General features: G+C 34.6%; 1 protein-coding gene across 11 annotated transcripts in view; it reads left to right on the forward strand.

Moving 5' to 3' along the window:
* The window catches only part of METTL25 (methyltransferase like 25), a 120,711-nt gene extending 113,066 nt beyond the window's left edge, over window positions 1-7,645 (forward strand). For 8 of the 11 annotated variants that reach the window (NR_144942.2, NR_144941.2, NR_144940.2 and 5 more), the window contains 3 exons: window positions 5,050-5,124; window positions 5,687-5,758; window positions 7,338-7,645. Coding sequence is in view for 7 of the 11 variants with exons in the window: in NM_001319675.2 (NP_001306604.1) it covers window positions 5,050-5,124; window positions 5,687-5,758; window positions 7,338-7,430 (240 nt within the window). In the remaining 4 variants the exon portion in view is untranslated. The other 3 variants (NR_144943.2, XM_011538828.4, XM_047429659.1) reach the window with 3 other exon arrangements.

Below are 26,668 nucleotides of genomic sequence, written 5' to 3' on the forward strand. Positions count from 1 at the left end.
AGGGCACATTGTTCTTTATGTCTAAATCTTTTTCATCTATTAGATGTAATCATTTCCATACCAACTATGTCATATGATGGTAACTCCAATAAAATGTTACTTGTGAAAACCATTATAGATTCTGAAGCAGTTTGGAGAACTTATTTAAAAATACTATAGAAATGCAAAGTGTTTTCTCAGTAGATTTCATAATAATAGCAGATCTAGCATTAGTTCTCAGTAAATCATTTCAATGGTGTTATATTCATAAGTCTCTTGGGTATCTTTTTAATAGTTTATTTTTGAAAAAGTTGATGAGAAATTTTCCTGCCCTCTTACACCGTAAAAAATTGTCAATAACTGAGAGAGAGAATAGATAAGAGGGAGAAAGGGATAGAATTTACTTAATATGAATTTTTCCTATAAATATATTAATCTTATAGATTGCATTGAGTTTTGTTTTTTGTTTTTGATTCTTTGAGACGCAGTTGAGATTCCATTACCTACAATCTGTCTTGGGACATTGGGACATTGGTGTAATTAAGACTGTATATTTAAACCTAAGAAGTTTTTCACATCTTTAAGAAGTAGCAGAGCCAATTGTTCACTTATGTCTATAAAGATGAAATAATTTTGTGAGTACATAAAAGTGTGAGAAACTCTTAGTGGTTGTCTAGGTTCATTTGTATGTGCACTCATCAATAACATTTTTTTGTTTTTTTCGTTTTGAAAAAAAATTCTTGGGCCTGGCGCAGTGGCTCATGCCTGTAATCCCAGCACTTTGGGAGGCCAAAGCAGGCAGATCACGAGGTCAGGAGATCGAGCCCATCCTGGCTAACACGGTGAAACCCCATCTCTACTAAAAATACAAAAAATTAGCCAGGCGTGGTGGCGGGTGCCTGTAGTCCCAGCTACTTGGGAGGCTGAGGCAGGAGAATGGCTTGAACCTGGGAGGCGGAGTTTGCAGTGAGCCGAGGTCCTGCCACTGCACTCCAGCCTGGGCAATAGAGTGAGACTCCGTCTCGAAAAAAAATTATTCTGCTTGGTCTGTTCTGTTATTGAAGCTCTCAATTGTATTTTTTATTTCATTCCTTGAATTCTTCAGCTGTAGGATTTCAATTTGGTTCTTTTTTGTATCTATCTCTTTAATTTCTCATTCTGGATTTCATTGACTTATCTATTTGTACTGAGTTTTCTTAAGATTATTATTTTTGAATTATTTTCTCTGGCATTTTGTGTCTTTCCTTATAGTTTGGTTCCACTACTAGAGGATTACTGTGTTCCTTCGGAGGTATCATGTTTCCTTGCTTTTTCATGTTTGATGTGTCCCTACATTGGTTTCTATGCACTCAGTGGAAAAGTCACATCATCCAATTTTATGGAGTAGGTTTCGTAAGTAAAGGCTTACTCATATGAATGAGTTTTGGGATATTAGTTGGGTGGGGTACATTTGCTGTGGTCCTAGGTGGATGCAGTAGTGTAGTGTCCACATAGATTCTTCAGATGCAGTCCATGCTAGTGGCATTCATGAGTGTCTCGGTGGCCTAGGCTGAGAGAGTTGTGGATAGTGGTGGGGCAGCTTTGCTAGGCATGGCCTCACTGTGCTGTTTCTCAGGTTGAGGGTGCATGCCTGCATATCATGGGTCAGCCAGCTTGGAGCTGGCACTGGGGTTATGGGGAGTTACTCTGGCTGGGAGTACATATACACAGTTGCTTAGCCAGCCTGGGGTGTGGCTGCCAAGAGCTGCCCACAGGGATGTTTCTCAAGGCCTGGAACAGGAGCGCAAGGCTCTTCAGCTGACCTAGGGCATGTCGGCCAGGCCTCTCCAGGGGAGGGCTGCTTCTCAAGCCTGGGATGTAGGCACACAGCTACTTGGCTGGCTTGGAGGCTTGTATACTGGGGATGGTCCCCAGAGCTATTTCTCAGGCCTGTGTCATAGGCCCACAGCTGCTCAGTCAGCCTGGGTGATCGCCCTCCAGGGGCAGCCTGTAGGGCTGTTTTTCTCAAACCCTGATTGAGTGCATTGGGCCTTTGGGTAGCTCAGCGGGTGCAGCACCACAGGGCTGTTTGTACATCGTTGGTTGTGGGTGTATACTTCACCTGGCCTCAGAGCATGTCAGTTGTTTGGAGGCTTCATGGCCTCTCGCCCTCAGGAGAGGGCACGCAGCAATTTTGCCAGTTCAAGGGTAGGTTTACACTAGACAGGACTGCCAGACTGCTTTTGTGTCTGGAAGTGAGTTGGTTTCTCTGCTGTGTAGGACCAGAGTGACAGCCAATCCTGGACCCAGGCCCCATGCAGCTTAGGTTGTGGCAGTCAGCCACCCATATGGGCTTGGTGGAATGAAGATAGAACCCCAGTGGTGTAGAGGTAGTGTTACTGACTTTCAGAGCAGGGTGCACTCCTGATGTTACTCTGGTCTTAAGATGGCTCTGTGCTGTAGAAGCTTGGCATACAAGGCTAGGTGGGAGTGGGGAGTGCGCGCATTGTTCTCCTAATCTGGGACAATGCAGCTGTGAGGGTTCCTGGAAGCCCTCCAAACTGGGCTCACCATTTATGAGGACTATGACATTCTCTTGTAGAAAGGATGGTAAGTGTTTGTGGTAGCAATGGGGGCTGGTAGTGTTCTTCTGCTTACTTTTTCCCTGTAACAGGAAGTTTCTGCTGCTTTGGGGCAGATCTCATCCAATCAGAGAAGATGGAGTTACAGAGGCTAGGTGTCTCCAAGCTGCCCACCTGGACTTCTAATCACCACAGGTGCATCTGCACTTCCCTGCTGCACTCCAGTGCTCTCTGTTCAACACTCCAATCAAATCTCATCTGTATATTCATTGCCTTGTCTCTTTCTTGTATGGGGGAACTGGCATCAGGCATCTGTAGTCAGTCATCTTGCTAATGTCACTTTGCGTTGTTATTTTTTTTTTCCAGGTATTTCTGGTCTGCAGATGATTAAGTCTGTGGGTACAGAACCTGCAGTTAGAGAAGGCCAGCTGTATACTTCTTATGCGCTTGTAAGAACAAGGACATTTTTAGTTTGATTTGGTTTGGTTTTTTTTACACACAGGTTTGCATATGGTTTCACTGTTTGGGGTTCTCCCTTGGCTTTTTTGCATCAAACATACTTACAATGCATAGTCTATGATATCCAGTTTTGGATCTCTTAAAACAACAAACTTTTTTTTTAATTTTACAGTAAAAAGGTGTTCTCACCTTTTCTTTCCAGAATATACTCAAAAGCAACAAACAGAATGAGAAAGAGAAACAAAACTCTCTTTGACAATATCAGAAGGAATTTGAAATCTTAAACTATGTATATTACAAAGTATAATGAAGGTAAAAGAGGGATGCAGAAAGATGCCAAGAGGAAATGCCCACGGTTACAGATCTCAGACAAAATCAACAGAACATAGTTCTCTAAAGTGTCATATCCTGAGGAACAAAATCAACAGTCTCTAGTTTGAAACAAATACAACTGGTGACCAGCATGGTGCTTCCCAATTTGGCACAACAGAAAAAAAGAAAATGGAGCACCCAAGAAATCATATTGAAGAAATACGTTTTCAGGGAGCAAGATAGGAAAGATTATGAGTTCTGAGTTATCTTACAACTGCTGATCTTCAGATGGTAAAGGAGAGAACTAAAGGCTGTAATTCAACACACGCAATTTTGTGAGTTGAGAGTTTCTGCTACCTTGAAGTTCAGGCCTGGATTTAGTCCAATATATTCTTCTACAAAAGTTTGCTCCAGCAGGGACTCATTTGATTCAAAAAATGGCAAACTTTTAAAAAGGATGGGGAGTGTGTAATCTGCATGGGTTCTGTACAAAGTGGGAGAGTTTTTCTGGAAGGCTTCACAAGAAATTGAATGAGACAGAGCCTTACTTTCCACTACCCTTTATAGTTTTTTAAATTCAGAAGAAATTTAGTGCTATTGTGAAAAAAAAAAGGACTTTGAAAAAATAATAAATTTATTTAAACATTTGCAGATAAATCTGAGTACAAGTCTTTTCAGATTTTTACTCATTTTATCCAGCCTTTCATTTGTTCTGACCACATTTAATTGACAGCAGTTTCTTCTGGTGACTCTGCTTTATCAGGCTTTTCTGTCCAGGGGAGGGCTGCTTTTTTGCAAAAATTATAGAATCAATTTTTCCTGTTGCTTTCATATTTCATTTGTTATGTAATACTTATTTATATGATAGGTTGAGTATTCCTTATCTGAAATGCTTGGGACAGAAGTGTTTCAGATTTCAGATTTTTTTTGAAATATTTACCTTATATACTTACCATTTGAGCATCCCTAATCTGAAAAATCCAAAATCTGAAATGCTCCAATGAGCATTTCCTTTGAATGTCATGTTGGCACTCAAAAAGTTTCAGATTTTGGAGCATTTCAGATTTTGGATTAGGGATACTCAACCTGTATATTATGACAATAATGTAACTGGCATAGCAAGTTTAGAAATAAATACAATTGACTCAGTAACAAAGCTCATCTAGCAGGAGCAAAAGCACAATTGAACTAGAGAGTGGCCTGCTAAATACAAGAGTTCAACATACTATAGGTATTTGTTTTAGAAAAAGAAGAAAAAGAAATAAAAGTAATTCTCTCTGATGGATTTGTGAAGTGCATGTTAGAAGAAACTACCTTAAGTATGAACATATGCCATTGTGTTCCTCTTGCCTTTGAATTTTGCTCAAAATGTCTTGTTTTAGATACAGTGTTGTAAAGTTTAATTTTAGTCAAAAAATGTTTGATCTCCTCCTGTGTGTCCAAAGCATAATAACAAATGAAAGTAAATATTTCCTTCTTAGTTGTTGAAATTAAACAATATTAATGGGATGTTGCTGGTGGTTTTATTTATGATGTGCTGCATAACCTATATCAGTGTAAAAATTTTAAGTAATTTAGAGTTATCTTGACTTGCTTCATGAATATCCTTAGAGCGAGTTCTTCAGACACCTAAGGTTGTATTAAATTGATGTCATGTTTATTTTACTTTAGGATATGTTTGACAAGGAAAAATATTTTTAAACTATCGTTAAATTTATTGTTGTTTTTTATCTTGAAGCTGCCAGAAAAAATTATAATGAACTACTACGAGAAGTATAAGCCTCGAATGAATGAGCTGGAAGCTTTTAATATGGTAAATCTCAGAGTTAAGCATATTAAATTGGATATGTTGCTAGACTTGAATAGGGTCCTATTAAATTTTATTATGGGCTAAGCAATCTATGTTGTTTTTCTCTTACTGTAGAAAAACTGTTTTGGATCATTTCCTATTTCAGGACTATATTAGGTGTCAGTAATGTAATAAAGAGAACACATGGTAGATTTCTCTTAAAAAAGTATTATAAATGCACAAAAAGTTTCAGAGTCCTTTGAACACATATTGGTCCCAATGCAGTTATTTCACAAGCATTCCTTTTAATGAACTTCATTCTTAGTACCCCTTTAAAAGCTTTCTATCACATATGACTGCTTGTTGGAGTCTACCTCACAGTCACTTAAAGGACATTCTTTTCCTATTATTAAAGAAAACCTTTTGATCTCTGAAATATTCATTTTCTGAAGATGTACCTGGATTTTGGAGATTCAGCCTATATAAACTTCTGTAGATACATTTATTTAAACATAAGTTTAAGGAAATAAGCTAGTCTTTTTTTTTTAAGTACCACCAACCTACCTATCTAATTTTTTTATTTTAGTTGAAAGTTGTACTGGCTCCCTGTATAGAGACTTTGATTCTTCTGGATCGACTTTGTTACCTGAAAGAGCAGGTAAATTATGTTATTTTAAAATACACAACAAATATCTTATTAAATACAGTAATATAGAGCCACTTATATCTAGGATAAGAGTCTTTCACATAAAACTAGTAAGAAAATTTTTCTCATTATATTTTCATAGTTTAAATGTTCATTCCATCCCTTTTTAAACATATAAACATATGTACAACAGATGTTTTCAGCAAAGCTGCTATAATAAAGTTTACATTCTTTTAATTGTATGGTAATTACTATACATAGGCAGTGAACATAAACTGCTATATATGAAATATTGTATAGCTGAAATTTATAAAGGCTAGACATAAAAGATATTGTATAAGCGTTTCATTTTGTAAGAATTTGTCTTTTAATTCACTTTTGGAGTGTTGGCCATATGGATTCTGCAGAATAGAAACTTCTTTCTGATCAAGGAAGATTCCTTCTGTTTTTTTCACAATCTTACTTATCTATGTTAAATGACAAAAATACTGTCTTTTGGGTTGTCTTTAAGGAAAATATTTTCTGCAGATTCTATTATGAGCTATGCTCAAAATAAAGTTTGGTGAACTGTTTAAATTAAACCCATTCATGGACTCACCGAATGTTTCCGCTATAAACTCTTTAACAGTTTTATTTTGTCATATGGGGAGCTTTACTTTCTTATTTTCCTAATTGGAACAAATGCTAATTGAAACAAATGGATATTTAAAAATGTTTGCTTTGTTCTAATTTGTATTTTTATGGAGAAAGGCAATTTTTAAATATGTAAATAATGATGTACTTTCCTAAGCTGCCAGCTAACTTCAAGTCACTGGAAAGCTTTGGTTCCTAAGTTAGTGGGTGATAAAATCAGTACCTATTTTACTAGATTCTCACATCCCTTTTCAAAACAATCTCCATTGACCTATGTACAAGAGGTAAGCAAAACAATGTGCACAAAGATTAATAGGTTGTAATGAAATGATAGAAATTATAGAAATGTTATTTTTAATATTTCAATTAATATCTTATAAAGTAATGCACATTTATGTTAGAAAATTTAAAATACAGGATATATAATAAAGAAAATTAAGAGTAGTCATAATCCTACCTTTTATTTAATAGCTTCAACTATTAGATTTTTAGTATATTTAAGGAATCTCTCAAATATATATGGTTATAACATATATAGTGCATATTATTTGTACTTTAATTAATATTAGAATAAAATTATAAATGCAGTTTTACATCTAATTTGTTTTATTTTATTCAGAATTTCCCACCATATTAAATGTACTATAGAAAGTGAACATTTCATCATAAAATAATTTATTTAACTAATACTCATTTGTGATTGGCCACTTCCAGTTTTTCACAACCGTAGCAAAGAATAAACTTGTAATTCACTCTCTATGTACATCCTTGTTTCCTCAGCATAAACTTTTTTGAAGGTGTAATTGTGAATGTTAATTTTGTTTAACAAAGCATAAGAATTTTCTGTGAAACAGCTTTGTTTTTATGTATTTTTTATATTACAATATATAATCCAACTCGCGTCTAATTTTTTTCTTCAACAAATGGTTGTATATCTAAATCACTTATTAATTTACAGGAAGATATTGCATGGTCTGCTCTTGTGAAGTTGTTTGATCCCGTGAAATCTCCCAGATGTTATGCTGTTATTGCCCTGAAGAAGCAGCAGTGATTTCCATTGAAGCAAATTATTAGATGTATTTCTCTATGAGACCTGTTGCTGAGATTGCTTTTCTAAACATATATGTCCTGTTATACAAAAATTTTTAAATGACTGTTATGTATTTTAAATAATAAAATAATGGCTAACAACAGAAGGTTATAATCCATTTTTCCATTGTCAAAGCATACATTAATAAAAGAAGAACCTGTCATAATAATATAAAACAGTTGACCTACATTCCTGAGTTAGTACATCAGTAGAACATTGTAATCTACGTCTTAATTCCTGTTCAATATTTAAGACCCCTTACATTTGCTACAAATCACATTTTGATGTATTGAATTAAACGTAGATAAGAGGTAAAGGTAGCTGGTGCGGAAGATCATTTGCAATTTCTTCCACATTTTAGAAGGGTTTTTCTGTTTTTACCAGGAGGGAAAAAATCTGCACTTAAAGGGAAGAAATACCCAGGAACCAGGTCAGAAATTTAAAAGTGCCTCATTTAAAGCACATTTTACACTGGGTTTTAATCTAAGTACATGGGATATTCCCTTAAAGAAAGTTGTATCTTATAAGTAAGATATTCTCTTTAGGGATTCTTGAGGCAATTTATCTTACTAAAATAAAGTGATGGGTTGGCACTTAATGTAATTACTTTATGCTCTGTAAAAAGCCAATCTGAGTAAACCAAGAGTCAATGGAATGAGGCCAACACTCTGCCCATTGTGAAACAAGTTCCTTTCATTAGCAGAAAACTTGAGGATTCTAATGCATACCAAAGAGATGAAGAACTGGGATAAAGCTTCCTTGATCCTCAACTAGAGAGATTTTATAAAATTTTCCAAAGCAAAAAAAGGAACTGCTTTTTTAAATGTTGGCATCTATCCACGATTAAGAAGAATAATTATATTTATTTGTATTGTAATATAAATATTGAGTTTACAGCCTCAGGTGATCAGGTTCTTTGTACAGAGAGTACAAAGAACCTGGATAATCAGGTTCTTTGTAGAGAGAGTACAATGCTTAGAAAATAAGCCATTTTTAAGCTTTTTTTTCCTGCAAAATTTCAAACATATCTAGAAGTGGAGAGTAGAGTATAAGGAATCCCCATGTACTCATCACAAAGTGAATAATTATCAACATTTTACCAATTTTGTTTCATCTATACACACATAAACATGAACATGCACACCCCACCCACACATACCCTAGCTGGAGAATTTTAAAGCAAATTCCAGGAGTTCGTTATTTCTAACAGTTATGGGGTTTTGTTTTGTTTTTTCAAAATAACATCTATAATTGTCCCCATTCATATATCTGCAGTTGGCTGAAAAATTCTTTATATCAGTTTCTTCAATTCAGAATCTAAACAAATTTAACACATTTGCATTTGCTTGATGTGTCTCTTAGGTTGTTTTAAATATATGATGGTTTCCCCTCCAGCTTTAAAATTTCATATCATTTTTATTTATTTAAGAAACCAGGTAATTTATCCTATAAAATACAGATAGATTCTGTAGGATAAATTTCTAGATTTACCTGATGATACCCTCAGAGAGCCATTTAATACACCCATCCCAAGTATTTCCTAAAAGCTGGTAGATCTAGAAATTTATGAGAGTTAAGTTATTATTATGTGTTTGTTTATTTTTGTCTTTTGGCAAAAATACTTCATCGTTAGTGTTACGTACTTTCTATTGCATCACATCAGGAGACACATCTTGTTTGGCTGTTCCATATTTAGTGATACTAAGATTGATCAGCAGCTTCAGTTGTTTTATTTATTCAATATAAAGTTTTCCCATTAACCTTCATCTAAATGGTCTTAGCAGCCAATGGCAGTGATGGAAAACAGGAAGAAAGAAAAGAACCAGACTGTGAGTTCATTTGTCATATTCATACTGACTGCCTAAGAATCCCCCTCAGTTTCAATTTGTCCATTGCATTCTTCTAAATGTAGCCGCCTTGTTTCAGCATGCTGTGATTTCCTCATATTGTTGACTATAAGAGTAACTATTTCAGGAGCAGAAAACCTTTTCAGCCAACTTTTTTCTTTTATAATTTTCTATGTAAAAATTTAAAATCCTTTCCTGGTACCCAAATATTTTTATAAGATTTATTTCTCATTATAATAAAGAAAAATACTTTATATGTATAAAACACCTTTTAGTATAGAGAAGGAAATTACAACAGGCCGGGCACGATGGCTCATGCCTGTAATCCCAGCACTTTGGGAGGCCAAGGCGGGCGGATCACCTGAGGTCAGGAGTTCCAGACCAGCCTAGCCAACATGGTGAAACCCCGTCTCTACTAAAAATACAAAAATACAGGCGTGCTGGCACATGCCTGTAATCCCAGGTACTCGGGAGTCTGAGGCAGGAGAATCACTTGAACCGAGGAGGCGAAGGTTGCAGTGAGCCGAGATCGCATCATTGCACTCCAGCCTGGGCGACAAGAGCGAAATTCTGTCTCAAAAAAAAGAAAAAAAAAAAAAGTTAATTACAACAGTTTCATTAGCAAGGCAACTTGATTGTAATTTCCCTATGTTTTAAACAGTTGTCAGAAATTACGTGTATCCATTAATGGTTTCCATTTTTATTAATCAGTTAAATGTGGAATGCAAGCATCAAATCAACATGACATAACTGCATTCATCACACTGAGATAACATTTCTACAGAAAGCAAAGAAACAGAGTATTTCAGACTGCAGCTTTGTACACATGAATCCCTTTGCAATGGTTGTAGACTCCCATCTCATAAAAACTGCACTTTGAGAACTAGTTTACAGTTTAGCCAAAGAATGTGGTGCCTAGGCATGAGCACAAATTCTGATAATTAAATTCTGAGTGAACTAAATCATGACAGTGCTTAACATCTCAGAGCCTCATTTGTAAAGTGGGGTTTTATTTACTTTTATTTTATAAACATTTATTGAATGCCTACCATTTGTCAGAGATTACGCTGGGCATTGACAGTATGGAGACAAACAGTATTCCACTGTCTTCAAAGAGCCTACAGTCCAGTGAGAAAGATAAAAAATAAAAGTATTAATTACAATAGTTACAATAGTCAAGATCAGAACTGAAGGGTTCAGGATATAGGTTTCTTAAGGGCATCTTCAAACGAGTAGCCAAAGGGAACAGGGACTCAGTAATAGTAGTAGTATAGTTTTGACTCATGTGAGCTAAATTGTTTTGTATCATTGAGTAAGTCACTTAACTGTTTAGTGTGCCCCAGTTTTCTTATCTGTAAAAAGAACAATAAATAGAACTCACTCTTAAGATGGTTAGGAAGATTAAGTGTATGTTATTGAACTACCTGAAAATGCCTCCAGAAAAAGCTGCTAATGAAGTAAAACTAAGCTTTTTATAACTCACTGCAGTAACAGAGGGCATTGCCTTGGCAGTCTTCACAGTGCAGCTCAAGGGGGAAATTAGGGGAAGATATTTATAGGATTTGGAGGTCTGGGTTCAAAGGTAGAGAACAAACTGGGATTTGAAAAAGTTTATGACAGAAGAGATTAGGATTAGCATATATAGCAATGCACGGGTCTTGAAGCAAGTGTTGATAAGTAAATTGTTGCGTGGTAAGTGAATTCTTTGAGAAGTGGAGAGGATTGAGATAAATTAATGTATAGGAATTTTCCGAAGCAATGAAATTACTTATTGAGGTACAATCTTATTCCTATGCAAAGTTTTCCGTTAAAAAAGAAAAACAACAACAAATAAATCAGATAAACACAGGTGATTTCAGTTCTTAAACCTAGTATCTCTGTCATGCTGATGCAGATGTTTACATTTCTCAATGTAAAGCACTTAATTCTACATAATGCATAGTGTAAAAGTAATAGTTGTGTTTGCTAAATTTTCTAGAGAGACTAAAATGTGAACTTAACCATATTTATAACATTGGTTTCATAGGAAAAAGTGTTGTAAATTCTGATTAAACAGCTTACAAATGGATTTTTAGTATCCCCATTTAAAAGCTGAGAATTCTTTACATTTAAAAGTGAAATTGCACAGCCAACATCATACTGAATGGGCAAATGCTGGAAACATTCCCCTAAGAAGAGGAACAAGACAAGGATGGCCACTTTCACCACTCCTGTTGAAAATAGTACTGAAAGTCTTGGCAAGAGCAATCAGTCAAGAGAAAGAAAGAAAAGGTATCCAAATAGGAAAAGAACAAGTCAAGTTAGCTATGTTCACTGATGATATGGTTCTATACCTAGAACACCCTAAAGACGCTACAAAAAGGTGCCTAGAACTGATAAACGGCTTCAGGAAAGTTTCAGTATACAAAATCAATGTACAAAAATCAGTAGCATTTCTATACACCAATAATGTTCAAGCTGACTAACAGCCAAATCAAGAGTGCAATCCCATTTACAATAGGCACCTAAATAAATAAAAACACCTAGGAATACATCTAACCAAGGAGATAAAAGATCACTACAAGGAGAACTACAAACTGCTGAAAGAAATTGTAAATGATACAAACAAGTGGAAAAACATCCCATGCTCATGGATGGGAAGAATCAATATCATTAAAACAGCTATACTGCCCAAAGCAGTCTACAGATTCAATGTTATCCTTGTGAAATGACCGATGTCATTTTTCACAGGATTAGAAAAATGTATTCTAAAATTTATATGGAACCAAAAAAAGGGCCTGAATAGACAAATCCAAAGCAAAAGGAACAAAGCCAGAGGCATCACACTACCTGACTTCAAACTATACTATAAGGTACAGTCGCCAAAAGAGCATGATACTAGTTCAAAAACAGACACATAGACCAACGGAACAGAATAGAGAATCAGAAATAAAGCCACACACCAGTAACTGTCTGATCTTTGAGAAAGTTGTCAAAAACAAGTAATAAGGAAAAGACTTCGTATTCAGTGAATGGTGCTGGGATAACTGGCTAGCCATATGCAGAAGAATGAGACTAGACCCCTAACTTTCACCATAAAAATGAACTCAAAATAGATTAAATATTTAAATATAAGACGTTAAATTATAAGAATACTATAAGAAAACCCGGGAAATACCATTCTAGACTTTGGTTTGGGGAAAGAATTAATGACTATGCCCTCAAAAGCAACTTCAACAAAAGATTTGACAGGTGGAACCTAACTGCACTAAAGTGCTTCTGCACAACAGAAGAAACTATCAATAAACAGGCAGCCTACAAAATGGTAGTAAATATTTGCAAACTATGCATCTGACCAAGGTCTAATATCCAGAATCTATAAGGAACTTAATGCAACAAGCAAAAAACAAACAACCATATAAAAAGTGGGCAAAGCACACGAACAGACACTTCCCAAAAGATTTACAAGTGGCCAACAGCAAACATATTTAAAAATGCTCAACATCACTGATCATCAGAGAAATGTCCATCAAAACCACAATTAAATACCATCTCACACCAGTCAGAAAGGCTATTACTAAAAAGTCAAAAAGCAACAGATGCTTGTGAGGCTACAGAAAAAAGAGAACACTTATACATTGTTGGTGGGACTTTAAGTTAGTTCAACCACTGTGGAATGCAGTTTGGAAATTTCTCAAAGAACTTGGAACTACCATTTGCCCCAACAATCCCATTACTGGGTATATACCCAAAGGAAAGTAAATTGTTCTACCAAAAGGACAGCTGTATTCATATGTTCATTGTAGCATTATTCATAATAGTAGAGACATGGAATCAACCTAGGTGCCCATCAATGGTGGATTGCATAAGGAAAATGTGGTACCTAAACACCATGAAATACTACACAGCCATAAAAAAGAATAAAATCATGTCCTTTGCAGCAATATGGATGCAACTGGAGGCCATTATCTGAAGCAAATGAATGCAGGAACAGAAAACCAAATACCACATGTTCTTATAAGTGGGACCTAAACATTGGATATGCATGGACATAAAGATGGGGACCACAGACACTGGGGACTACAAGAGGGGTGAGAAAGGGTGGGGGCAGGGGTTGAAAAACTACCTATTGGGTACTATGCTCATTACCTGGGTGACAGGCTCACTCACACTCCAAACCGCAGTGTTAGGCATTAAACCCATGTAACAAATCTGCACATGTACCCACTGAATCTAAAATAAAAGTTGAAATTATTTTTTAAAAATACAAAAAAAGGATACTTTTGTCCAATATTAATTAAAATATTAAAGCCTACTTTGATTTTGATGTAGCTTCCTTTTGATGAATATTTGCAAATATGCCTTTTTCCTTTCTATTAATTTTGAATATTTTGTACTTACATGTATTATATACGTCTCGTCTAAACAACATATTGTTGGACCTTAGTTTTTCAGGTCAGTCTTTGTTTTTTAATTGAAGGATTTAATTTAAACTCAGTGGAATTGCTGATATATATGAATTTAAGTCTGCCATTCTTTTATTTGTTTTCTATATGTTCTGCCTGTTCTATGTTTCTTTTTGTCTTTTATGGCTCTTTTTGTTCTTGGGAGACAGAGAATCTTTATCACACTTAGATGTGGGCAAGCAGGGCCCCCTGTTCTAAGCCCCACACATCAAAGATCCTTGAACATTGGAGTCCTCGCTGGGGCATGGGACCATCTGGCTTGACAGTGCCATCTGGGCAGGGCAGCCCTCACAGCCCTAGTCCAGATTACAAACTGTTGCAGGCCTTCTCCTCTTTACGCAACTCTTAAAGAGACAGCCTTCATAATGAAAACAGTTTCAATTTTTCAGGAAGATATAATAATTCTAAATTTAGTTAACATATTCAGTTAACATAATCTCAAAATATGTGAAGCAAACATTAACACAACTACAAGGAGAAATAGATAAATTGCAGTCATTCCAGAAGTATCTTTATGTTCCTAGCTATCATATGGAAAAAGCAAACAAAATTATAAGCATATAAGATCTGAACAATGAAATAAGTAAAAGTAGCCTAATGGACCAATACAGTACACTGTACCCAATTACTACAGACTACATAATTTTTTTAAGCACATATGGAACTTTTAGGAATTTGACTATGTGTTGGGCTTTAAAGCAAATTTCAATACATTTCAAAAGATTGACATCATGTACAGTATAGTCTTCGATCACAATGTATTGAAGCTGAAAAAACAATGCTTTAAAATGAGTAGAAAATCTTCATTTGCTTTCAATTTTAAAATTGTACAGTGAAATTTGGGAGCCAAGGAGATCACAGTAGACATCACAAAATATTTTGAAGTGAATAATAATGAAAATAATTGAATGGAATCATAATGGAAAATTATGTATGAAAACCTATATTCTGAGCTAAAATGCTATAATTGCAGTACTACTTTTGTCACAAATATGAGAAAAGTACTGACAAATGATTTTAATGAAAGAAAAACACATTCAGGGGTGATGAATGCATTCAAAAATCACTTCTTAGATAACTAACAAAATTGAAACAACTCTGTCAAAACTTACAATTCTTTTAAATAGAACATTTAAACAATATCAGGAATTGAAAAGGGAACATCACTATAGATCCTACAGAAATTAGAGCAACTCTTATGGTAGATGTATAAATTTGTATGAAATGGAAAAAATTTCTAAAAGAAATGCAATATAGCAAAACTGCCTCAAGAAGGAAAGTGAATCCCAAGAAATGTGACTGTTTAATTGAATTTGCAATTAATTCTTTATTAAGTCTCTACCTTTCAATGAAAGTACTTTGCTGATGTTGCATATAATTTAATCGATCACCATCTGTTAGTTAGCTGCCCTGTGACAAAGACCATGCTAGACACTAAAGGTGGGGAGAAAGTTTTAAGAACTTTGACAGTTCCTAATTTCAAGCATTTATAATCTAGTCATTGAAACATATATGATAGGTATATGGAAGAGTTAAGATTTAGATAATGACTTTGAGAAGAGAAAAAAATTAGTTGCTACATGAACACACGATCTTTTACAATGAACTATGTCCTAGTACTGTTCACTTCTGTTGCCAACTGTGAGTATGGTGCATTACTCATAGTTTCCTTCATGTTGTTTTTCAGTGTGTTCAGTACAATGGCTTATTTTCATGGAGAAGGACTGTTTAAGAAATAATCCTCTATATGAAATATGTGCTGTGGTTAACCTGTGACCAAAGGAACTCCAAGCTCCCACACCTTCCTGGATGGCTTGTACTTGGCTACTGGCTATATGTTTATCATAATTTATTAGTTGATGTATTTATCTCAGTAGTTTGCCTTATTTAGTTTGCAAATATTTTGTCATTGGAAGGCCTTGTTTAAAAAATATACTGTTTTCATTAGAATTCTCAAATGCACAATCCAGCAAAAAAGAGTTAACACATGTCAGCATAGAACAAAGTAGCATGTATTTAAATCTCATGGGAGGAAAAGCCCTTAACTTGCATTAAGTTATGATCAAACATAGTCAATTTTAGAAAAATAGAGAAATTATGAAGTTCCAGCCTAAAATGTACCACATTGCCTTCCATTTGGTCAACATGGGATTTTGTGTCCATCAGATGATCATGTTGAAGTAACTGCACATGTATTGTGATTTAGCTGCCCTCTCAGGAAAGGCAAAATCTTCTAATATTGCTTCAACTTTTCTAAGAAAAATACTTCATCTGAATGGTGGTTTTTCCATCAAGCAAAGTATATTCAAATAGTGTGTCTCAAGAGCAAGATAAAACAACTCCAGATACCACTGGATTATAACAACAGAAATATTTAGTGTTTTGGTGGCTTCAGAATATTTCTAATTTTAGTAGATAATATAATTCTGTGTAGGTAGACCACTGAATAAAGGAAAAAACGACAGAATTTAAATCATAAAAAAGTATTAGTGTTCTACTTCCACTTAAAAGGATTGAACTAAAAAAAAATAGAAATCAAAGGAGGGTTTAGTGTTAATGTTGTAGGATGTTAGACATTGTTCTGTGTATACAAGTAATGCCTTAAAGAGTCCACATTTGCATTCACATTACTAGCTTATACTTAATTTAGAAAGTTTAGGAATCCATCCTTAATAGCATGTTATACTGAACTAAAGAATGATTTTTAAAGATTTTGAGGATCAATATTTAGGGTGTAAGAACTGAAGGCTTTTGCAAGATAAATTATTTCATAGGTAACTTCTCTCTCATTAATAGCAAGCACAGTTGTTTAGCTTGCAGATAAACAGGTTTGAAGTTCCTTTTTTTTTTTTTTTTTTTTTTTAGACAAAGTCTCGCTCTTGTCTCCCAGGCTGGAGTGCAATGGCGCGATCTCGGCTCACTGCAACCTCCGCCTCCTGGGTTCAAGCGATTCTCCTGCCTCGGCCCCCTGACCCAAGTAGCTGGTATTACAGGCACCTGCCACCACGCCTGGCTAATTTTTGTATTTTTAGTAGAGACGGGGTTTCACCATGTTGGCCAGGCTGGTCTAGAACTCCTGACCTCAGGTGATCCACCTGCCTCGGCCTCCCAGAGTGCTGGGATTACAGGCATTAGCCACCGCGCCTGGCCAGGTTTGAAGTTCTTAAAAATGTGATTCATACTTTTAGATATCTAGCACAGTTTTAATATCTACTTTTTTAATGTGGTTATTGGTAATGTGTTTTCATTCTAATACATTGGTAGTAAATGCTTGGAGAAGAATTAATATTGTTACCATTAATAACATAGCTTCTAACTTTAACAAAGTAGGGGTAAATCAACATAAATTTCCTTAACTTTCTTTTATTATTAAAATAAAATTAAGTCTCTTAAGCTTCGTTTAAAGTTAGGTAAATGTCCTGTTGTTGTAGAACTTCTGAAGATTATAGTAGACTAGTGAAGTCCCATCATATACACATTTAATGTATGTCCTCATTTTTAGATTCTAACTTCTGTACAAAATGCAAATTAATAAGGTGTATAGGATAGCTATTTGTTGGCACCAAAATAAAAATGCCATCTCCAAAAGACAGGAAACAGGAGACTAAATCTCTACAGCTTTTCAAAAATTGGTGTATGTGTTTCGGATCAAGTAACACATATTCAATCCCACCAAAACTTCATTGAAAATCTATGAGCTGGACACTGTACTAGGTGCTTTTACACTTATCTCCGCCCTCAGAACGATAAACTTATTATTAAATTGGTGCTATAGATCATTAATATCAAAACATTCATTTACACCTAGGGAAAGAGCAGTAATACCTTAAACTATTTCATTCATTCCCCATTTACTCTAGCGTTTTAATTGTTTTTTCTGAAGCATAATGATACATTTCATGGGCTATTCTATACACATGATCATGTTGTTTCCAAATAAAGACAGTTTTACGTATTTAAAGAAAAAAGAATGAAGAAAACTTACAGAACTTGTAAACAACCTCAAAAGGGCAAAGCTTCAAGTCATAGAAGTATAAAAGCAGAAGAAAAGATAAACGGGGTAGAAAGCTTATTTAGAGACATAGTAACGGAACAGTTTCTAAACCTAGAGAAAGCTGTAAACATCCAGGTACTGGGAGGCCAGAAGTCTCCAATCAGATCCAATCCAAATAAGACTACCACAAGACATAACCACACTATCAAAAATCAAAGACAAAAAGTATCAAGAGAAAAGAAATGAGTAACATATAAGGGAGTTCTAATATGTCTATCAACAGACTTCTCAGCAGAAACATTATAGGCCAGGACAAAGTGTGATGATATATTCAAAGTGCTGAAGGGAGAAAACAAAAAACTGAACCAAGAGTACTGTACCTAGCAAAGCTGTCCTTCAGGAATGAAGGTGAGATAAAGACTTTCCTAGAAAAACAAAAGCTGAGGGAGTGTATTACCACAGGCCTGTCTTACAGGAAATGCTAAAGTGAGTTCTTCAAGCTGAATGAAAAGGATGCTGAACATGCAGTATGAAAAGACATAAATTTTGACATGAAAAATTCAAAATGGGTGGCAGAGAGAGGGGTAAAAATGTAGAGGTATTTTGTGATCAAAGTTAAGTTGTTAGCTTAAAATAACCTTTCACGGTCATAAGATTTTTTGGTAAATCTCATGTTATCCCATAAAGCAAAAAACCTGCAGTAGATACACAAAAAGTAAAACGGAATCAGAACATACCACTAGAGAAAATTACTGAACTACAAAGGAAGGTAGCACGAAAGGAAGTAAGGAACAACGCATCTGCAAAACAAATAGAAAACAATTAACAAAATGCTAGTAGTAAGTCCTTACCTATCAGTAATTACTTTGAATATAAATGGACTAAATTTTCCAATCAGAAGACATAGAGTGGCTGAATAGATTTAAAAAAAAAAGTCTCAAGTATACACTGCCTGTAAGAGACGTGCTTTATCTAAAAGAACACACATAGCCCGAAAGTGAAAAAGATATCGCATGCAAATGAAACCATAATATAACAGAAGTAGCTATACTTATATCAAAAACATAGACTTTATGTCCAAAACTAAAAAGCAACAAAGAAAGTAATTATACAATGAGTCAATTCAGCAAAAAAAAATAACAATTTGTAAATATATATAAACCTAACATCAGAACACTGAAGTATATAAAGCAAATATTAATACATCTGAAAAGAGAGACCACAGCACAAAAAATAGCAGGGCACTTCATTACCTCACTTTCAGTAATGAACGGGTCATCCAGACGTAAAATGAATAAGGGGATATTGGACTTAAACTGCACTTTAGATCAAATGAATCTAACAGACATATACAGAACATTCCTTCCAACGGGTGCAGAATATACGTTCCACCCAATCATACATGGAACATTCTCCAGGCTAGTGCATATGTTAGGTTACAAAGGAATTGAAATCATATCAAGCATCTTTTCTGAACACAATGGTATAAAACTAGAATTAGTAAAGGAGGAACCTCAGAAAATCCACAAATATGTGAAAATTAAATAATCAAAATTTATTTTAATTAATATTTATTAAATAATCCTAAATAATCAGTGGGTTAAAAAAGAAATAAAAGGGGAATTTTTTAAAAAATGTCTTGAGACAAATGAAAATTGAAACACAACATACCAAAACTTATGGGATGGAGCAAAATGTCTACAAGGGTAGTTTATAGTGACAAAGTCCTACATTAATAGAAATATCTCAAATAAATAACCTAATTTAATACCTCAATATACTAGAAAAACAAGAACAAACTAGGTCCAAAATTAGTAAAAGGAAGAAAATAATAAATATCTGAGCAGAAATAAATACAATAGAAACTAGAAAAACAGTAGAAAATATCAATGAAACTAAGAGTTCAGAAGATAAAATCAACAATCCTTTGGCTAGACTTAGTAAAAAGAGAGAAGACTCAAATAAATAAGCTCAGAAATGAAAAAGGCATCACAACTGAAATAAAATACATGAGATCATATAAGCCTAAGACAAATGCATAAGTTCCTTTTCACATACAAACTGCCAAGACTGAATTATGAAGAAATAGAAAATATGAATAGAACAAACATGAGTAAGGAGATTGAATCAGTAAGAAGTGTCCCATCAAAGAAATTCCAGAATGTGATGGTTTCACAGCTGAATTCTACCAAACATATGAAGAAGAATTAATACAATCCTTCTCAATTTCTTGGAAAAAAATCGAGGAGGAGGGAAAGCTTTCAAACTCATTTTACAAGGCCAGTATCACTCGGATGTCAAAGCCAGGCAAGGATACTATAAAAAAGAAAACTAGAAATCAATATCTCTAATGAACATAGATGCAAAAAATCCTCAACAAAATACTAGCAAACCAAATTCATCATCCCATTAAAAAGATCATTCATCATGATCAAGTGGTATGCATCCCAGGGGTGCAAGGATCATTCAATATATGTAAATTAATAAATGTGATACATCACATTAATAGAATAAAGGGCAAAATCCATATGATCATTGTAATAGATATGGATAAAACACTTGACAAAATTCAACATCCTTTAATCATAAAAACTCTCAAAATTAGGTATAAAAGGAATGTACATCAATACAATAAAAGTTGTATATGACAAATTCACAGCTAACATACTCAGTGGAAAAAATTGAAAGCTTTTTTCTAAGATCCAAAACAAGACAAGGATGTTCGGTCTCAACACTCCTATTTATTATAATACTGGAGGTCCCACCCAAAGCAATTAGGCAACAGAAAAATAAATAAAAGGCATACAAATTGGAAAGGAAGAAGGTAAATTATCCCACTTTCCAGACAGCATGATCTTATATATAGAAAACTCTAAAGACTCTGCAAAAAAACTATTAGAATAAATAAATTCAAATTCAATAAAGTTGTAGTATACAAAATTAACATACAAAAATCAGTATTATTTATATATACCAACAAAGAACCATATGAAGAAGAAATGCAGAAAACAATCCCATTGACAATAGCAAAATAAAATCAAATACTTGGGAATAAATGTAACCAAGGAGTTAAAAGACCCTTACACTAAAAAGCATAAGCCACTGATGAAACAAATTGAAGGAGACACACGTTAATGGAAAGATACTCTGTGTTCATGGATGAGTAGAATTAATATTGTTAAAGTTCCCATACTACCCAAAGCATCCTACAGATTTAAGGCAATCTCTATTACAATGCCAATGACATTTCCACAGAAATAGAAAATAGCAATCCTACAATGTCTATGTAACCACAAGAGACCCTGTATAGCCAAAGTCAACTTGAACTAAAAGATGAAGAATCCAACTTACAAGGGATGTGAAGGACCTCTTCAAGGAGAACTAGAAACCACTGTTCAGTGAAATAAAAGAGGATACAAACAAATGGAAGAACATTCCATGCTCATGGGTAGGAAGAATCAATATCATGAAAATGGCCATACTGCCCAAGGTAATTTATAGATTCAATGCCATCCCTATCAAGCTACCAATGACTTTCTTCACAGAATTGGAAAAAACTACTTTAAAGTTCATATGGAACCAAAAAAGAGCCCTCATTGCCAAGTCAGTCCTCAGCCAAAAGAACAAAGCTGGAGGCATCATGCTACCTGACTTCAAACCATACTACAAGGCTACAGTAACCAAAACAGCATGGTACTGGTACCAAAACAGAGATATAGACCAATGGAACAGAACAGAGCCCTCAGAAATAATGCCGCATATCTACGACTATCTAATCTTTGACAAACCTGACAAAAACAAGAAATGGGGAAAGGACTCCCTATTTAATAAATGGTGCTGGGAAAACTGGCTAGCCATATGTAGAAAGCTGAAACTGGATCCCTTCCTTACACCTTATACAAAAATAAATTCAACATGGATTAAAGACTTACATGTTAGACCTAAAACCATAAAAACCCTAGAAGAAAACCTAGGCAATACCATTCAGGACATAGGCATGGGCAAGGACTTCATGTCTAAAACACCAAAAGCAATGGCAACAAAAGCCAAAATTGACAAATGGGATCTAATTAAACCAAAGAGCTTCTGCACAGCAAAAGAAACTACCATCAGAGTGAACAGGCAACCTACAAAATGGGAGAAAATTTTTGCAACCTACTCATCTGACAAAGGGCTAATATCCAGAATCTACAATGAACTCAAACAAATTTACAAGAAAAAAACAAACAATCCCATCAAAAAGTGGGCAAAGGATATGAACAGACACTTCTCAAAAGAAGACATTTATGCAGCCAAAAAACACATGAAAAAATGCTCATCATCACTGGCCATCAGAGAAATGCAAATCAAAACCACAATGAGATATCATCTCACACCAGTTAGAATGGCGATCATTAAAAAGTCAGGAAACAACAGGTGCTGGAGAGGATGTGGAGCAATAGAAACACTTTTACACTGTTGGTGGGACTGTAAACTAGTTCAACCATTGTGGAAGTCAGTGTGGCGATTCCTCAGGGATCTAGAACTAGAAATACCATTTGACCCAGCCATCCCATTACTGGGTATATACCAAAAGGATTATAAATCATGCTGCTATAAAGACACATGCACATGTATGTTTATTGTGGCACTATTCACAATAGCAAAGATTTGCAACCAAGCCAAATGTCCAACAATGATAGACTGGATTAAGAAAATGTGGCACATATACACCATGGAATACTCTGCAGCCATAAAAAAATGATGAGTTCATGTCCTTTGTGGGGACATGGATGAAGCTGGAAACCATCATTCTCAGCAAACTATGGCAAGGACAAAAAACCAAACACCGCATGTTCTCACTCATAGGTGGGAATTGAACAATGAGAACACATGGACACAGGAAGGGGAACATCACACGCTGGGAACTGTTGTGGGGTGGTGGGAAGGGGGAGGGATAGCATTAGGAGATATACCTAATGCTAAATGACGAGTTAATGGCTGCAGCACACCAACATGGCACATGTATACATATGTAACAAACCTGCACATTGTGCACATGGACTCAGGAAGGGGAACATCACACACCGGGGACTGTTGTGGGTGGGGGGAGCGGGGAGGGATAGCATTAGGAGATATACGTAATGCTAAATGATGAGTTAATGGGTGCAGCACACCAACATGGCACATGTATACATATGTAACAAACCTGCACATTGTGCACATGTACCCTAAAACTTAAAGTATAATAATAATAAAATAAAAAAAGACCAAAAAAAAAAAAGATGAAACAAGAGGCATCACACAACCCAACTTCAAAATATACTACAAAGCTACAGTAACCAAAACATCACGGTGCTGCATAAAAACGGGCACATAGACCAATGGAACAGAATGCAGAGCCCAGAAATAAATCTGCACATTTACAGACAACTCATATTCAACAAAGGTGCAAAGAACACAGAGTAAGGAAAGGACAGTTTCTTCAATAAATGATGCTGGGGAAATTGGATATTTACATGCAGAAGAATGAAATTAGACTCTTATCTCACATTATATATAAAAATCAACTGAAAATGGATTAGAGACTTAAATGTAAGACCCAAATCTATGAAACTAATAGAAGAAAATGTGAGGTGAAAGCTCCATGACATTGGTCTGCCCAATGATAATCTGGATATGATCTCAAGGGTAATAAAAGCAAAAATAGACACATGGAAACATCACACTAAAAAGCTTCTGCACAGTAAAGGAAACAATCAACAGAGTGAAGAGACCACCTACAGAAATTTGGAGACTATACATTCAATAAAGGATTAACACTGAAAATATATAAAGAGCTCAATTTAATAGCAAGAAAACAAATAACCCAATCTAAAAGTGGGCAAAGGACCTGAATAGACATTTTCTTAAAAGAAGACATACAAATAGCCAAGAGGTATATTAAAAAATGCTCAACTTCACAAATTATCAGATAAATACAAATCAAAACCATAATGATATATTACCTTACACCTATTAGAAAGGTTATTAAAAATAATAACAAGTATCGAGTAGGATGTGGAAAAAAGGAACTCTCACAGTGAGCAGGAATGTAAATTAGTACAGCCATTATGAAAAGCGATATGGAGTTTTCTCAAAAATATTAAAAGTAGAACTACCATGTGATCCAACTATCCCACTACTGAGTATATATCCTAAGGAATAGAAATAAGTGTGTTGAAGAGATATCTGCACTTCCATGTTTATTGCAGCATTTTCCACAATAATCAAGATACAGAATCAACCTAAGTGTCCATCAATGGATGAATGAATAAAGAAAATATGGTAAATACACATAATGGAATACTATTCGGCCATGAAAAATGGTGATGATTTGCAACAACATGGATGAGTCTGGAGGATATTATGTTAAGTGAAATAAGACAGATACAAAAAACAAACACCACATGATTTCATTCATAGGTGGAATCTTAAAAAGGTTGATCTCATAGGAGTAGAAAGTACAGTGGTGGCTACCAGGGCTGGGCTGGTTTGTGGGGACAGCAGGCTGGTTGGGGAGATGTTGGTCAAAGCACAGAAAAATTCAGGAAGGTAGGAGTTATAAGCTTAAGACATCTATTGCACAAGTCAAGTGTAATATGTTTAAGACATATATAATTACATGATACTGTATTCTTGAAAAATGCTGACAGTGGATGTAAGGTGTTCATTCCACAAAAATGGATACCTATGTTACATAATGCATATTTTAATTTGCTATATTTCATCACTTTGCAACATTTATATACTTTAAATCATCATCTTGCATGCAGTAAATACATACAATTTCATCTGTCATTAAAAAAATAAATTTTTAAAAAATTTTGTATTATCTATATATCAAAAACTCTAGCATCTATAAATATATATTGCAGTTTGGAAAACATAGCTCTTTAAAAGGACTTTATAATTTTTTGGTAGACTCTGCACACCAAATTCTGTGCTTTTTCTGTTTCTCTCTGATTACTGCTGTCTTTTCACTCATGGGTTCTTTTTATATTAATAAAGGTAGCAAAGCAATTGGCATTGGAATTTACACAGAATTTTAAGAAAATCAGGATACAGTGAATTTACTGAGGCAAAGAAGTCAGGTTACTGGTCCAAAGCTCAAATTACCTTAACATACAAGCTGTCATTTTTACAAATCCATGAAAAATGAGTAAGGAAATTGGTTCTTGAATAATATGGTCATGCCATTTTAAACTCTTCGTTTTTTCTCTTTTTGTTGAAAGAATGAAGAAAATATATTTAAATTACTCATAGTCCCACCACCAAGAAAAGATATTTTTCATTTGATTCAAATACATTCATTATTTATATTTGCCTTAATAATGAACATATCATTTAATATTCTTTTACGTAATGATCTTTTACAAATCTTTTACTTAATATTCTTTTACAAATAATCTTTTACTTAATATTATATAAAAAGCATTTTCTTATGATTCTACATCACCCTCATGATAATTATTTTTAAGACTCCATCCTAATGAGACATACACTGTTTACCATAATTTTGTTGTTAGATCTCTAGGTTGTTTCTGATTTCTTGCTGTTGAATGCTAAGACTGCTGTGAATACCTTGAGCTTAAAGCATTATTCCCTTTCTTCAATTAGTTACTGTCCCAGAGCATATATTCCCAGAAATTTTCCATTTTTAAATATATATATTTAAAATATTTAATTATATTGTTCTTCATAACAGCTCCCAGCTTGGGAAATTATTAATGGTTAAACACAGGATCCATAGACAGCTTCATGACAACGAAATGCAAGCTTTGAATATTCTACTGCTTAGATATTTGTACATAAAAATACCAGAAATCATAGACAAGTAATCTACTAAAGATTTGACAGAAATTGATTCAAATAAATGAAGTCTTTTACATAAATGTGCCAATAAACTTAATTCAAAAATGTTACCCAAAATGCACAAATGACCAGTAACCAAACACATACATAGTATTTTCTATGTACCCCATATATATAATTTTTTAAACACTCCATAACTTAATCTGTCTTGCAAAGTGTTTACTCTGTCCCAAAGGATCCACCTCTAATCTAGTAAATGCAAAAAGCGTATAGATTAAGTGAAATCATGAACAGACACAGAAGCTCAATTTAAAATAATGTCATAGTGAAAAAAAAAAGTACCCCACTTACCTATATTAGTTAATAGATGTCAAAATGGCCTGCTTGACAGCAATAGAAGAATGGGACCACTTCAATTACAGATTTCATGGAATTCCCCCCAGAATTTCCATTTTTATTGGCCTCTTATATTCAGCCCAAAGGTGTTGCATAAGCCCCTTCCTGGCAAGCAGGAGTACATCATCAATTTTTTTTGACAGTTTTGAAAGTCTACAATTTAAATTGCTGTTTCACCATTTCAGACTCCATGGAAAGTTCCAATATGTTAACATAATTCCAGATTCACTATTCTCAAGTGTGCTGGTAACTGAGCAGCCTTCTCTGAAGGAGTCTTCTTGAGTGGCCAGATCTGTTTTAAAAATTTTAGAGGTGACTCCAACTTTATATTTCTCTTATACACATACATACCATTCATACACAGTGTCCTTGGCAACGACTCAATTTTTAAAAGGTTTTTTAAACTCCAAATGGCATGATGGATTATAATAATAATGTCAACTAAATATTTATTGAGTGCCTATTCTGTGTTAGGTGCTGTTCTAAGCACTTTATATTTATTAATTTATTTAATCCTCACAACAATCTTAAGAGGAAGGGATGATTTTGTTTCTGCTGCAGGAAATTGAGATACAGAGAAGGTCAGGCACCTTGTTCCAAGTAGGAGTAGCTAGAGAGAACAATTGAATGGTAAAATCAAGATTTAAATTCAGGCATTCTGTCTTGAGAGTTTAACCACTTAAC

The sequence above is a fragment of the Homo sapiens genome, chromosome 12, assembly GCF_000001405.40.
Source record: "Homo sapiens chromosome 12, GRCh38.p14 Primary Assembly".
Taxonomy (NCBI): domain Eukaryota; kingdom Metazoa; phylum Chordata; class Mammalia; order Primates; family Hominidae; genus Homo; species Homo sapiens.